The sequence below is a fragment of the Homo sapiens genome, chromosome 11, assembly GCF_000001405.40.
Source record: "Homo sapiens chromosome 11, GRCh38.p14 Primary Assembly".
NCBI classification, from domain to species: Eukaryota; Metazoa; Chordata; class Mammalia; order Primates; family Hominidae; genus Homo; species Homo sapiens.
The window spans coordinates 59,600,882-59,615,947 of record NC_000011.10 but is presented as its reverse complement, the minus strand read 5'-3'; the positions used below and the strand labels follow the sequence as shown (position 1 = coordinate 59,615,947).

At 42.9% G+C, this 15,066-nt stretch overlaps 1 protein-coding gene across 1 annotated transcript in view, besides 2 other annotated features; it reads left to right on the top strand.

The window, feature by feature from the left end:
* Nucleotides 2–301: a silencer, noted in NCBI's record as "silent region_3367". NCBI's record gives its function as "represses an Ori minimal core promoter by ATAC-STARR-seq in GM12878 lymphoblastoid cells {active_cell/tissue: GM12878}" and the evidence as "EXISTENCE:reporter gene assay evidence [ECO:0000049][PMID:35858748]".
* OSBP (oxysterol binding protein) overlaps nt 174–15,066 on the top strand; it is a 41,377-nt gene continuing 26,484 nt past the window's right edge. The window contains exons 1-5 of the mRNA NM_002556.3: nt 174–645; nt 5,359–5,567; nt 7,214–7,464; nt 14,110–14,308; nt 14,563–14,665. Coding sequence (NP_002547.1) covers nt 284–645; nt 5,359–5,567; nt 7,214–7,464; nt 14,110–14,308; nt 14,563–14,665 — 1,124 coding nt within the window. The 5' untranslated portion in view covers nt 174–283. The remainder of the gene's footprint in view (nt 646–5,358; nt 5,568–7,213; nt 7,465–14,109; nt 14,309–14,562; nt 14,666–15,066) is intronic.
* Nucleotides 322–541: a silencer, noted in NCBI's record as "silent region_3366". NCBI's record gives its function as "represses an Ori minimal core promoter by ATAC-STARR-seq in GM12878 lymphoblastoid cells {active_cell/tissue: GM12878}" and the evidence as "EXISTENCE:reporter gene assay evidence [ECO:0000049][PMID:35858748]".

The window sequence follows — 15,066 nt, the reverse complement described above, 5'->3', positions numbered from 1 at the left end:
GTGGGTCTGGCGGACGCGTCCCACCCCAGGCTCTCACTGGGCGCTGTAGAATGACAGGCCCGAGAGAAATGCCAATATCCGCGGGGTCTTCCTCAAGTGACACTCAGCGGCACCAATCGACGTCCTTCTTCCCGGCGGCCGAGCCCTCCTCCCCGCGGCTGGCCGGGCGGGGCGGGGACGCTGCGCGGCGGTGGCTGATGCGGTAGCCGTGTGGGGCGCTCCGGGCGGCGACGGCGGCTCTCGTAGGCGGTTCCGGTCTTGTATCTCCAGGCGGCGGCGGCTCATGGCGGCGACGGAGCTGAGAGGAGTGGTGGGGCCAGGCCCGGCAGCCATTGCAGCACTTGGCGGCGGCGGCGCCGGTCCCCCAGTGGTGGGAGGAGGCGGCGGCCGCGGAGATGCGGGGCCAGGCTCCGGGGCCGCGTCAGGGACGGTGGTCGCGGCGGCGGCGGGAGGCCCGGGCCCGGGGGCCGGGGGAGTGGCGGCGGCTGGCCCGGCCCCTGCGCCGCCGACTGGGGGCTCGGGCGGCTCGGGCGCTGGGGGTTCGGGCTCGGCTCGAGAGGGCTGGCTCTTCAAATGGACCAATTATATCAAAGGCTACCAGCGGCGATGGTTCGTGCTGAGCAACGGGCTCCTGAGCTACTACAGGTAACTGCTTCCGGGGCGCTGTCGCTCACCTTGCCTCCCCCATATCTGCCAACAGTCCCAGCTCCGGCATTACCGCCAGCCGGCACCGCAGCCAGGGTTGCCCCAGGCCCCTTTTCGTCATCTGTGCGGATTGACAGCCCAGGGGTCGGAGCCCACTGTCACGAAAGTGAAAAGCCCCTGGACGTACACCTCCCCTCCCCTCGGGTTACCCACTCTTGGTGCCTTATCTTCCCTTCGCTCCCGGCCTTTCCAGTCATTAGTCGTTTGGAGAGCGTCTGTGCTTCCATTGTATTTCCACCAGCACATGGGTGCAATTATTAATTCTGCAAGCAAGGCACTGGTGTAGGTACTAAGGGAACACATGCAGCAGAACAAACCCGAGGCACTCCTCCCAAGGAACTTACAGTGGAAGTCCCAAGTTGTAGCTGTCAGTGCCCAGTCTCCAAAACTCAAGGTTATTCGTAGCTCTGGATGTACCCGTCCTTGCTCCCTTCACATTCAGACATAAGGGCATCACACACACAGGGTGGCTTCGGTATTCCGTCCCCTTTCTGCCTTATCTCTCCAAGACTTTGCATGTGCTTTGGCCTCTGGACAGCCCAGAATGGAGATGTGCACCCCAGTGCTGCTTTTATTTTTGCTTGCCCCACCTCCTCCCGTGGAAATGATTAAGTGTTTTATCTGGCATTTCTGTGATTTTTTGGTTAGTTAGGATTAACTTTTATTAAAAGAAGAATCCATGTCTTTGGTGTGATTACTTCTGTTCAACAAGGTTTATTTTGGACTGTTTAATATATATTTATGGTGACTCATAACCTGGCCATCACATGGCACGCTTTTGGGCTAAAAAGGATAGAGGAGTTAAGATAGGTGATTTGGGGACAGGGCGTAAACATTTCCTGAGGGCTGGACAATGTGTCTAGGTGTTTTATATACAGTATTTCATTATAGTATTTTGTTGACTCCCAACAACAACCCTAGGAGTTGGGAAATATTCCCATCTTACTGATGAGGAAAACAGACTTAGCATGGGCAACTTTCCCAAGGTTTTTGAGCAGCTGGGATTTGAAACTACTTCTGTTCACACTAATCTAACCTAAAACTCAGGTTAGTGTGAAATGAATCGGTCAGTTACAGAGATAATTGCTTATCAATAGCAAGTAATTTTATGGATCATGCTTACTATGTGTATTTTATGCAAAAAGTATAAAAGTCTCCTTTAAGGGATATTTTGCTTAATGACATTCCAATTGAAATATTTTTTTCCAGAGACCATCCTCTTTGAGACCCAAAACACTGATGTTGAAGAGCAGCTCACTCTATATTTCTTTTCCTTCACCAGGAATCATTCTGCTACCCAGAGAGTTAGGCTGAACAAGTCTCTTTTCCATCAACTCCACTGTATTGGCTCTTAGAGAATTTTGAGGAGAAATTGAAGGTGGGAGTTGGAGGTTGTTGGCAGGAACACATTTTTACCTGTCCTCTTACAGGGCAAAATGCCTTAGATAGCTCATCCTCACTGCTTAATCAACAGTTGTGAATAATTGTATATTTCATTTGCATTACTGTATTCAGAATTGATTTTAATTATGACCCTTTCGAACTACTTATCCAGGACCATCCATTTAAACTTAGATTACAAATCTAAAATTTTAATTTCCCCAGATTTTTCTCTCATTCAAGTTCATGTTTTCCTGTTATTATTGACCATCATTTTAATGTTTAATTGATTTATATCCTGACTTGTGTCGCAAGTCAATATTAATACTGTTTTTGCATTTTCAAAAATTGTATATCACCTCAGGGCCTTCGTATGTGGTCATTTCTCATCCAAGTTCTTACCGGATCCACTTTCCAGGCCAGTTGATTCTTTGATCAGTACTAGTGTTGATCAATAGTGATCTTAGACACTAATAACTTACATGTTGCTGTCTCTTTAAGTATTTGTTACCACTTTTAACTTCTCCCTTACAAGAGCTAGTGGTACCTGTCTGACTACATATAAAACTCCTTCCAAAACATACCAAACCACATATTGGGAAATATGCCATAGGCCTGCCCTAGTCAACTTAGGTGGTCCCACCCATAAACAAACCAGCGGGATCCAGAGTTATCAATCTGTGCACTACCCTCAAAATTGCACTGAAATACCTCCTATCAAGTATACTGGCAGTTTATTTTTTCCTGCAGGATTCTTCTGGTCCTCATCTTCCTCCAAGAATTATTTAGACAAGTTGTCATTCCTCCTGCTTTTCATACCTCCAAAACCTGCAGTTTCTTATATATGCTGTTTCCAAAATACTGTTTTCCTTTTAAGTGGGATTGTGTACTTCCTAGACCCATCCTCGGATGAGCTGTCCTAATAGGCCTTGGCAAACCACTTCCTTTACCTATCCTGGGCTTCCTTACGTACCCAGTTACTTAGATGTCCCATTACTTAAAACCTTATATGGAATCCCAACTCTCCCAGAAACATTGTGACAGGCCATAGTATTAGTTCTCCTGGCTAGCTTCTAGAGATTGAATTACTATTTCAGCTAGCCTTTTCAGGGAAGAACTTTCTGGCCAGAAAATACCACCTAATATTGTAGTGCCTGAAGAACCTATCTTGTACCCTGAGATTCATGTCTTTCCAGCTTCTGCACTAATCATTTATAATCATAAGTGTATCTGCCCAGACTCAAGAGCTCCGAGATCAAGTCTGCCTTACTCCCAGAGTTCCTTGGTATTTTTTAAACTGCTACAGACTTTTTGTAATTTGAGAAACTTCTTTAGTTTACAATGATGACCCAGGCAGAAGAGATTCCTACAATGATGACCCAGGCAGAAGAGATTCCTAAGAAGTGGTTTCCAAAAAGCTCCAATAAGGAGGAATGTGGAGGAAGGTCCAAGTAGTATACTTGGAGTAGAAAACATGAGCGAGCTGGCCTGTCAGCTGTGCATCTGTAATTCAGCCTGCATTATTCATAATGTAACTGAAGCTTGGGGGTGGGGAGGTAAGAATAGAAAAAACGGATTCATGTTACAGTGTGGCAGGTGCAGGAGATGGAAAATGGCCCAGTTCATTGAGACCCTTCTGGCCTTCCCATACTATTTGAGGAAGGAAGAGCAGTTCATGTGAAAAATTGAACAACAAACCTGTCTTCCAGACTTTCTCAAACATACCAAATCTTATGGGGTGTGTGCCATTTCTGGCATGCAGGAATTCTGGATATGCCAGGTGTGTTTGGCTGCTTGACTCCACTGAAAGGGAAATGGCTCTGCTTTGTACTGTGGCAGTTGGCAAAGGACTTTGACCTCTGTGTTCCAATTTGGACAGGGAAAAGTGCAGTCTCAACATGCAGGTTCCTGGGCATAACCAGCGGGTGGTAGGGAAATGACACAGTTTGTGTTAGACACTCGATTGTGCTAGAAGCTTGATATTTTATGTGAAGCTTGGTATTCTATGTGAAGTGTCTTATAGCTTGTTGTCACCAAGTAATGCTGTAAAGTTCAAAAGTTAGTCTATTAATAGAACTGTCAGTCACTAGAGATCGGGAAAATTTTTACACCCAGTTCTCTGAGAGCAGATCTGCTGAATCTTTCCTAGCTATTAATAGACGGCTTAGGAGTTCCCACCAGTAGAGTATGGTGGACCTTAGGAATGAACATATTCCAGAAAGATTAAAACACTTGGTGATTCCTTTTTACTTCCCCAGAAAGCTAGTTATTCTTATTTCATATCATTTGAACCATAGCCAATATTTAATACTCTAAACATTTAAGGGTGCTTTTTTTACACTTCTGCGATATAACTCTAAGCATGATGTAACATTGGGCTGAGTTCTCATTTGGGCTGAGTTACAGTCGGGAGCGAGATGGTTTGGTATATATAAAATAGAGCTATTCTTAGGAAATGAGATTGTTGCATGAGGTTATAGGGCAATTTATAATTACAACTTGCTAAGTAAAAGATAATTCCTGACTGCAAAAGGGCATGAAGGAACTTACTGAGATGATAGAAATGTTCTACATCTTGATTGTGGTGGTGGTTATGCACTTGTGTACATTTGTCAAAACTCATTCAGTTGTACCTTTAAAATTGCTAAATTAACATTGCATGTAGTTATACCTCAGTATAGCCTATTTCTTTCTTTCTTTCTTTCTTTCTTTTTTTTTTTTTTTTTTGAGACGGAGTTTCGCTCTTGTTGCCCAAGCTGGAGTGCAATAGTGGGATCTCAGCTCACTGCAAACTCCGCCTCTCAAGTTCAAGCGATTCTCCTGCCTCAGCCTCCTGAGTAGCTGGAATTACAGGCACACACCCGCACGCCTGGCTAATTTTTTTGATTTTTAGTAGAAACAGGGTTTCACCATGTTAGCCAGGCCGGTCTGGAACTCCTGACCTCAGGTGATCTGCCCACCTTGGCCTCCCAAAGTGCTGGGATTACGGGTGCCCGGCCTGTAAAGCCTATTTCTAAAAGGAAAATGGTAAGAGGGACAGCAAAGCAAAAAAAAAAAAAAAAAATCTGACTCAGAAACAACACTTATAGGCTCTGAAGGGAAATCCCCACTAATTGTTTCGTGAATTTTAGGGACCCGTTTGAGGGACTAGAACTTGCTGATTCCTAAGACTGTCATATTTTCAGGGAGCTCAGAGTTATGAAAAGAAATGGAATGTGATAAAGGATAAACCGTCAACTTTCTGTTTAAATTGTCTTTGTCTTGTTATTACAGATCAAAGGCAGAAATGAGACATACCTGCCGTGGTACCATCAACCTCGCCACAGCCAACATCACCGTGGAGGACTCCTGCAACTTCATCATTTCCAATGGGGGTGCTCAGACCTACCATCTGAAAGCTAGTTCAGAAGTTGAGCGGCAGCGCTGGGTGACGGCCCTGGAACTGGCCAAGGCCAAAGCTGTGAAGATGCTGGCAGAGTCAGGTCAGGAACAAAGAACACCTGCCTGGGGAACTTTCTTTTTGCCCCTTTTATGCACAGATTTTGTTTGTCATCATTATGCTGTGTCATTTGATTATCACCTATTTCCTAGAGGTCTCAAGCTTCTCGTCTTCATGCAGTATTTCTGCTGGAGTGATGGTTCTCAACCAGGGTTGATTCTCCTCCCCAGGGGACATTTGGCAATGTCTGGAGACATTTTTGGTTGTCACAGCTGAAGGGAGGGAGGTGCTATGGCATCTAGAGAGTAGAGGCCTGGGATGCTGCTGAACCTCCTATAATATACCAAACAGCCGCCAAAACAAAGAATTATCTGGCCAAGGTTGAAAAATTCTGTCCTAGAGGCGTAACAGTTGTTCTTTTGCCTTTTAATTGGCTACCTTAAAATTTTGAGAAATAATTATTTTATTGGTGGGCCAGTCTTGGGAATATTATTCCTCAGAATTTGGATCTATTCGTGCTTTTTCTCCTGATACCTTCTTACTTAACTCTTTGTTAGTTAAGTTGAAACAATTTTAGTAGACTGCCAAAAACTGTATATGTGATATTTTCTATGAAAAATCTTCATTTTGCTGCATTGGTTAACTAAAAGGAGCAATCAAGTTAAGTTTTGATTATTCTTCAAGGAAAATGGTACGATTTTCTCCTGATATATTGATAGTTTAATCATACTGAGCTTGTTTACCTAGAACTGACCAAGATGGTCATCTGCTGACTTTGTTATCTTATCCCCTGTCATTTCCCATACTGTATGTTCATTCATCAGTGAAAGGAGAATTCACTGGTTTGTAAATTGTTTGGTAGTAAGTTATATTTTGACTTTGGCCCCGTCTCTCTGTCTAGCAGAAAGGACAGGTCTTTTGTCTTTTTTTTTTTTTTTCTTGCTTTTAGTGCCGATGTTAGCTCCTCCAAAGGAAGTGACACTGCTAGAAAAGCACTTTGCAGTTACAAAGTGTTGAGTGTGAGAGGTACAACATAGCTTCTGTACTTGACTTATTATTGGAGAGCTATTTAAAGTGAGTTTTTGCATTCTTTTCATGGTGGCTTTAGTCATAAAGTTTCTGAGCTCTCTTTCAGAAGACAAATTAATGGCCTTTTTTGTAATGTGGACTTTGTCTACAAAGAGCTAGACTGTGATTCTCAACTCATTTAATACAGGTCCCATCAGTCACCTATCAGATGATAGTGGAGTTGCAAAAATAGTTAGCTTGGACTAGATAGGAATCATCAAGCTAGAGTTAAGGAGCTCAGTAATTAATTCCCAATTCCAAGAGCCTTTCAGCTTTTCCATTCTGTATTGTAGGTCAGTGGTTTTCAAACTTCAGTGTGTGTCAGTTACCTGGGCAGCTTATTAGAAAGGCAGATTCCTGGGCTTTGCCTCACACCAGCTAAATTGAAGTCTCTAGGGGTGGGCCTAGAGACTCTGCCCCTTTGAGAAGGACCTGGGGTGTTTGTGGTGCAGGTGATCTGTGGACCACACTATAGAGAAACCATCTGGTAATGGCAAGTTTTCAGTGAGTCAGAATGCACACAGCATGAGGAATGTTGGTTTGTTTCTGGACAGAGTAGGTAGGGTTCCAACTGTCACTCCTGGTTCTGGAATCATATAACCTTTCTTTTCATTCCTACAGATGAATCAGGAGATGAAGAGTCTGTCTCACAAACTGACAAGACTGAGCTGCAGAATACCCTTCGGACCCTCTCTAGCAAAGTAGAGGACTTGAGCACGTGCAATGACTTGATAGCTAAGCATGGCACAGCTCTGCAGCGTTCTCTCAGTGAGCTGGAGTCCCTGAAGTTGCCTGCTGAGAGCAATGAAAAGATCAAACAGGTCAACGAACGAGCCACACTCTTTAGGATAACATCCAATGCCATGATCAACGTGAGTGCAGATGGTGTCTGTGTTGCTTTTTGATTCATTCCCTCTTTGAAACATAATTCTCCCCAAATGCCTAAAAATTGTAATTGATAAAGCACAGAACATTAGGGCCTGCTTCACTGGTCAAGGGCTTTAAGTTACATTGTTTACTGCATGAAATAGAACAGGCTGTACAGATTGAATGACTTTCATGCTCTGCTTAAGTGATCAGGAGGTCTTTGCTGCAGCTGGGAATCAGGAGTCCAGGGTTCCTTCACTGACTGCTCTGCAACCACTAGGACATCTGATCAGTATTAGCTGAGTCCCTTAATTTCTCTAGGTCGTGATTTTATGTATGTATGTATGTATGTATGTATGTATTTATTTATTTTTGTCTCATTTCATCTGTTGGAACTAAAAGATCTCCCTGAGTCCCTTCCATTGTCATGTTCTTTGAGCTTTGAGTTGGAGTCATCTCCTTACTTTACTAACGCATTCAGGCATAAAGGGTGGTAAGTGGAGGCTAGATCAGGTACTAGTGAGAACCTTATAGTACTAGTTATTCCCATCTTTAGTCCTTGAATTCGAGGATAATTTCGATGATAAGACAAAATATTCAACTTTGGGCACTTTTCTTTAAAAAGAGTGGTAAAACTTCAGCCTCCTTATGACTCCTAACTTGGGTGGCTGTTGTTGGTTTGCAGAACATTTTAGCTGCTTGGGTGCAAGACTCTGAGTAAACAGAGCACCCATGGCATTACCGATGTATTGATACGTATGAAGTGAATACATGGTTTAAACAGTGCTGCTTTTCCTCTACTGATTCTTGCCTGGCAGGTTGTTTTAGTTACCTTCTGCATAAAAACATTCAAAGGCATTTCATAAGTGAGAAGAGTACTCTGTGAGAAATTATGTAGGGTAGATTTTTTTTTTCCTAATTAAATGGGATGAAATTACCTCTCTAGTGCCAGACTTTCCCATGACCATGGGAAAGTATCGTTTTTCTCATTTAACCCCTTTCTTACTTAATAGATAGTTGGATAACCTTTATTTTAACATCATTTTTCTGATATGTTTAACACTATCTTCAGTGCTGTGATTCACACAAAGTAAAAAGACAAATTACATTCTCCACTTAGGGACTGCAGGAAGATTATCTCCTAGGACTGACCAGTCAGCCAGTCAGGGTGCTTGTGTTTCTGATGTCTGGTCGTGTATTCCTGGAGACTGTGTGCCTGGTTTTCCAGTCCCCTTGTGATCAGGAAAACCTCATTAAGTCATACAGTCAATTAAATAGTAAATACGTATACTTTTTAAATAAAACAACTCGGCACAATGGTCTCCTGAGAGTGAATGCCACCTTTTATCCAAATCAGAGGAACACCCCAATCCATAATTTTTTTTTTACCTTGATGTAAAAATTTTGCTAAGTAAAGCATCCCTTTATAAACCTAAACCTTTAGTTTCAATTTTTCTCTTGAAAATGTACTCATCTTTGTTCCTTGGGGAAATTCTTCCCTAAGTTCTAAGTGTCCAGAGTTTGTGTTAAAGGGAATGATCTCTTGGAAGTCAGAGATGAGTTCTGTTTTCATTCTTTACTCTCTTGCTGCACTGCCTGTGCCCTTTTCCTAGCCAGTTATTGCTTAAAATACATTTTTTATCCCTGTGTTGTTTCCTTTGTACCTTTTAGTATGATACTAGCAAGGCCTTAAGTATAATACACGTGTTAAAAATTAACATGCTAGAGCATCACAGCTCTAAACGGGCAAAGTTATATCAAAGGAAGAATATGTTTCACTCAATTACTTCTTTAAAAATTAATTTAATTTTTGATTCAAGGGGCACGTGTGCAGGTTTGTTACATAGGTATATTGCGTGATGCTGAGGTTTGGGCTTCTAATTATCCCATTGCCCAAGTAGTGAACGTAGTACGCAACAGGTAGTTTTTCAACCTTTGGTTCTCTTCCTCCCCACTTTTGGAATCCCTAGTGTTTATTGTTTCTGTCTTTGTGTTGGTGTGTACCCAATGTTTAGCTCCCACTTATAAGTGAGAAGATGTGTTTTTTTTTTTTTTCTGTGTCTGCATTAATTCAGTTAGGATATTGGCCTCCAGTTGCATTCATGTTGCTGCAAAGGACATGATATTGTTTTTTTTTTATGGCCGTTTCAGTTTCTTGACTGCTTAGGATAGAGCTTTTCTAACTGTCAAAGTGAATCTGATCAGAGAATTAAATTTGACACTTTTAGTATATTCATCTGCCATCTATTGAGCATGAGCTGTGTTCCACGAACTGTGCTAGTGGATATTGCTGAGGGCAGATATGGTCCGTGTCCTCAGGAAGATCACTATTTAGTGAGGGATGGAGAATTAAAGGGATCATTATGGACTATGTTGAGTGACTTGATAGAAATGAGCACAGGCTGCTATGGTATAGCACTTTGGAAGTATTTGGCTCAGACTAGGAAATTTCTCTAATTTCCTCAACTAAATTCTGAAGGAGCAGTGAGAGTCTTCCTATGAAGAAAGGCAAGCTAGAGCTTGGGGCCTGGAGTCCAACTGCCTTCATGACCTATCTCTGTAACTTGAGGCAACCTGCATCCCGTCCAACTGCCTCTATGACCTATGTGTATAACTTGGGGCAACCTGCATCCTCTGTGACATCAATTCCTTATCTGTAAATGGTAATGATACTAGCAGATACTTCAAAGGCTTGTTGAAAGGCTTTTGTCAGATAATTGATGTGAAGTGCTCGGCAAAGTGCCTGACATATGATTGTCTCTGGCAAATTTTAATTACAGTCAGTATTACTAAAAGGGAATGAGGCCAGGCATGGTGCCTCACACCTGTAATCCCAGCACTTTGTGAGGCCGAGTCGAGTGGATCACCTGAGGTCAGGAGTTCGAGACCAGCCTGGCCAACATGGTGAAACCCCCATCTCTACTAAAAGAAATAAAAAAATTAGCCAGACATGGTGACTGAGGCATGAGAATCACTTGAACCCAGGAGGCGGAGGTTGCAGTGAGCTGAGATCGTAGCACTGCACTCTGTAGCCTGGGTGACAGAGCGAGACTCTGTCTCAAAAATAAATAAATAAATAAATGAAATAAAAGGGAATGAGGGAGAAGCTTTGATCCAGGTAGTGGTATGGGATATTCAGATCTATCCCTTTCCCCAAAGTCTGGGAACTGCTGGTAATTGACTGTTAGTCGAGCAAGGAAGCAGCTAGCATGAGGCTTGGGAGGAGTTAATTGTGGGGGAGAGAAAGGGCTGCAGATCATACCAACTAAGCTTGGTAGTAGTGGATTAGAAGATGAGACCAATTTGGATGCAGTCATAATTTTTTTCTTTTTTTTTGAGACAGAGTCTCGCTTTGTCACCCAGGCTGGAGTGCAATAGTGTGATCTCAGCTCACTGTAACCTCCGCCTCCCGGGTTCAAGCAGTTCTTCTGCCTCAGCCTCCCAAGTAGCTGGGACTACAGGCGCACACTACCACACCCGACTAATTTTTTGTGTTTTTAGTGGAGATGGGGTTTCACCATCTTGGCCAGGCTGGTCTTGAACTCCTGACCTTGTGATCCACCTGCCTAGGCCTCCCAAAGTGCTGGGATTACAGACATGAGCCACTGTGCTCGGCCTTTTTCTTTTTTTTTTAGAGACAGAGTATTGCTCTCTCACCCAGGCTGGAGTGCAGTGGCACCATCATAGCTCACTGCAGCCTTGAGCACCCAGGCTCAAGTGAGTCTCACTCCTCAGCCTTCTGAGTAGCTGGGACTACAGGCAGAGCTGCTACACTCAACTTTTTTTTTGAGACAGAGTCTTGCTTTGTCACCCAGGCTGGAGTGCAGTGCACAATCTTGGTTCACTGTAACCTCCGCCTCTTGGGTTCAAGCAATTCTTCTACCTCATCCTCCCAAGTAGCTGGGACTACAGGCGCACATCACCATGCCTGGCTAATTTTTGTATTTTTAGTAGAGATGGGGTTTCACTATGTTGGCCAGGCTGGTCTCGGACACCTAACCTCAGGTGATTTGCCTGCCTCGGCCTCCCAAAGTGCTGGGATTAAAGGTGTAAGCCACTATACCCAGCCTCTTTTTTAAATTTTTATATCTTTTTTTAATTTTTATATAGAGATGGGGTCTTGTATGTTGTCCAGGCTGATCTTAAACTCCTGGTCTCAGGTACTCCTTCTGTCTTGGCCTTCCAAAGTGTTTTACATACGTGAGCTACCATGCCCAGCTTATAATTATAATAACTAACACCTTATTGAATGTTTATTGTGAGCCTAATGTGGTTCTAAGTGCTTACATGTAAAACAACGACTCTTTGAGGTAGTTACTCTATTGTTACTATTTGTTTATGGAAAAGGAAGATGAGGCACAGAGAGGTTAAATAACTTACCCTTATTTGTACAGCTAGATAGTGGGATGGATCTGTGATTTGAGCCCTACCGGTCCAACTCCAGAGTATGCACTCTGTACTGTTTCTGAGTAAGGAGGATGGAAAGACATGTACAGATTTTTAAAATATTAAAGAAGAATCAATAGGACTTGATAACTGGCTGTGAGGAAGGAAGCAAAAGTAAGAGAAGGATGCCCCTTAATTTTCTGGCTTGGACAACTGGGAGGGCCCTGAAAGTTGGATTGGGGAACATCAAAGGGAAAAGCAGAGACAACATAGGAAACTGATGAGGCTGGGTGTGGTGCCTCACACCTGTAGTCCCAGGTGTGGATCACTTGAGCCTGGGAGTTGAAAGATTAGCCTGAGCAACATGGCAGAATCCCACCTCTATATTAACTACAAAAATTAGCTGGGCATTGTGGCTCATGCCTGTAGTCCCAGCTACTTGGGAGGCTCAGGTAGGAGGATCACTTGAACTTGTGAGGTTGAGGCTGCAGTGAGCCATGATTGTGCCACTGCACTCCAACCTGGGTGACAGAGCAAGAACATGTCTCAAAAAAAAAAAAAAAAAAAAAAAAACTGAAGGTGATGAGTTCACTTTGGGATGCATTAATTTTGAAGTTACTTTGAGCCGTTGAATAGGGAGTTGGATATTCTATTCTGAATCTCAGTAAGTGCTGGGCTAGAATTAGTGATTTAGTAGCCATTAGCCTATAGGCAGTGGTTGAAACCATGGGAGTAAATATCCTGTTTACCTTTTAGCTTCTCTGTAACAGGGAATAGATTTTTAAGCTTACGTTGCTTGCCTCCTTCCTTTATTTATTTATTAAGCAAACTTTATCAGATCCCTATTATGTACAGAGCAACTAAATTAGGAGCTGGAGATCTATATATGAATAAACTCAAAAATGTGTTTTTAAATTGCATGTGATCCATCTGGAGAGATAGAAAATCAGTCACGATACTGCTGTGCATGTGTAAAATAGAAGTTTGTGCAAAATGCAGTGGAAATGTAGAGAAGAGACTGGCTGCTTATGAGACTGGTGGGGAGATGTCACAAAGTAGCATTTGCCATAGATCTTAAAGAAAGATTTGCCCTTTCTTAGAAACAGGGGATAGGGATGGACATTCTAGGTAGAGTGAATAGCATATGCTGAGGTATGTAGGCCTGAAAGAAATCTGTGTCCACGACTGGGCACAGTGGCTCATGCCTGTAATCCCAACACTTTGGGAGGCTGAGATGGGTAGATCACTTGAGTCCGTGAGTTCGATACTAGTCTGGGTAACAAGGCAAAATTCCATCTCTACAAAATACAAAAATTAGTCGGCCATGGTGGTACATAACTGTAGTCCCAACTGCTCAGCGGGGCTAAGGTAGGAGGATCACCTGAGCCCGACGAGGTTGAGGCTGCAGTGAGCTGTGATCTGCACTCTACTCCAGACTGTGCCAGAAATCTGTGTGCAAGAAATGGTGAGCAGTTCAGTGTGGCTGCATTGTAGGGTGCAGTGCTAAGTACACATGCCTGGCGAGGAGAATACAAGGCAGGTGATGGCCGTATTATGAAGGTCTCTTTATGTTCATAACCAGTAGTTAGTATTTGATCCTCATGTTAGTGGGGAGCCAGTGGAGGGACTTGATATAATCATATTTGTGGGTTTTTTCTCTAAACCTCTTCTTTGATTTTTCAAGTAGGCTTCTAATATTTTTCTTTTTAAACCTTCTTCCTGCACACTGAAGGCTCCTAATTTTTAAGGTCAGTTGTTTCTCTTAGTGACCAAAATAAAAACCAAATGAGTTTCCCCATACTTGGTCTACCTCAGTGTGGATTCTCTGTTCTCAGTGTCTGAAGTCCTTAGCTTTCAGTTACTTGAGTTTAGTCAAGAATTTGTTGAAAGCAGTTATCCTGTGTGTGCTCTCATCCTTCTTTCAGTCAGCAGTTCTCTACTTTTGGTGCAGTTCACATACCTGCTCTTTTTGATGTTGTCACAAATACTTCGTCTGGGTTTACTGCTCACTTGGCATTTGTTTGGTTCTCGTGACCAGGAAAGTGTAAAAGAACCATGACAACCATATTTACTTTTTTTCTGGGTTTGACCTTGATTTCAGCGTGGAGCTAGCTGTCCCTGATACCTTGGCATAAAAGGGAAAGTCTTTCATTGTAATTTGCCAGTTAAAAGTTCCCAGAATAAGGTTACTCAATGGGCTTGCAGAAGCCTGAGGGGAAACTCTGACTAGTTGAGCTGACACAGTCAACGCTTTCTCCATACAGGCCTGCAGAGATTTCCTCATGTTAGCCCAGACCCATAGTAAAAAATGGCAAAAGTCACTACAGTATGAAAGAGACCAGCGTATCCGACTGGAAGAAACCCTCGAGCAGCTGGCGAAGCAGCATAATCACCTGGAGAGGGCCTTCCGAGGAGCCACGGTGCTGCCGGCAAACACTCCTGGCAATGTGGGTTCTGGTAAAGGTAAGACACTTAGCTCTCAGGTAGCCTGGTCTAAGGTGAGCCAGATGGTTTTCTGCAGTTGATAGGAGAACTCCAAACTCTTCACAGTCAATGAGTCATGTGAAATGGAATTGGAACCCATTGATTTATTCTGGATTTTCCACTGCTTTCTACCATTTTTTGCTGTGTTTGTGGTTAGTATTTAAAAGAACTTGCTATATCAGACATTTGGTAAAGATAACCAAAGTCAACAAATGGGGCTTTTCTTCTTGTAGATCAGTGCTGCTCTGGCAAAGGGGACATGAGCGATGAAGATGATGAGAATGAATTTTTTGATGCACCTGAGATCATCACCATGCCTGAAAATTTGGGCCACAAGTGAGTTATCCTTGATTGTTGAAGCAAATAAACATATCTTCACCATCAATATGGTGGTATTTTAGCATCATATTTTAACCATCAAAAGGTTAAAAACATTTCAGTGAGAGTATTATAATTGTCAATATTGAATCTGGGCCCTTTTCCCTTTTTTTTTTTTTTTTTTTGTCTCAAGATCTCTTTGTAGAATGGGCCCTTTTTCTTAAGTAAGTGAAAAAATGTCAGCTTTTTTACGTAAACAAATTCTCCAGAGATACTTAAATTCATTCCTACTCTAAATGTCGTCATTTGATCACCCATCAATAAGTTTATACAGTGTACTTGGCATTCTGCTTTGTAAAGAAATGTCCAGGACCACACTCTAGTTCTGGTCTTTGTTCTAATTCTCCTGTGTTTCCCAT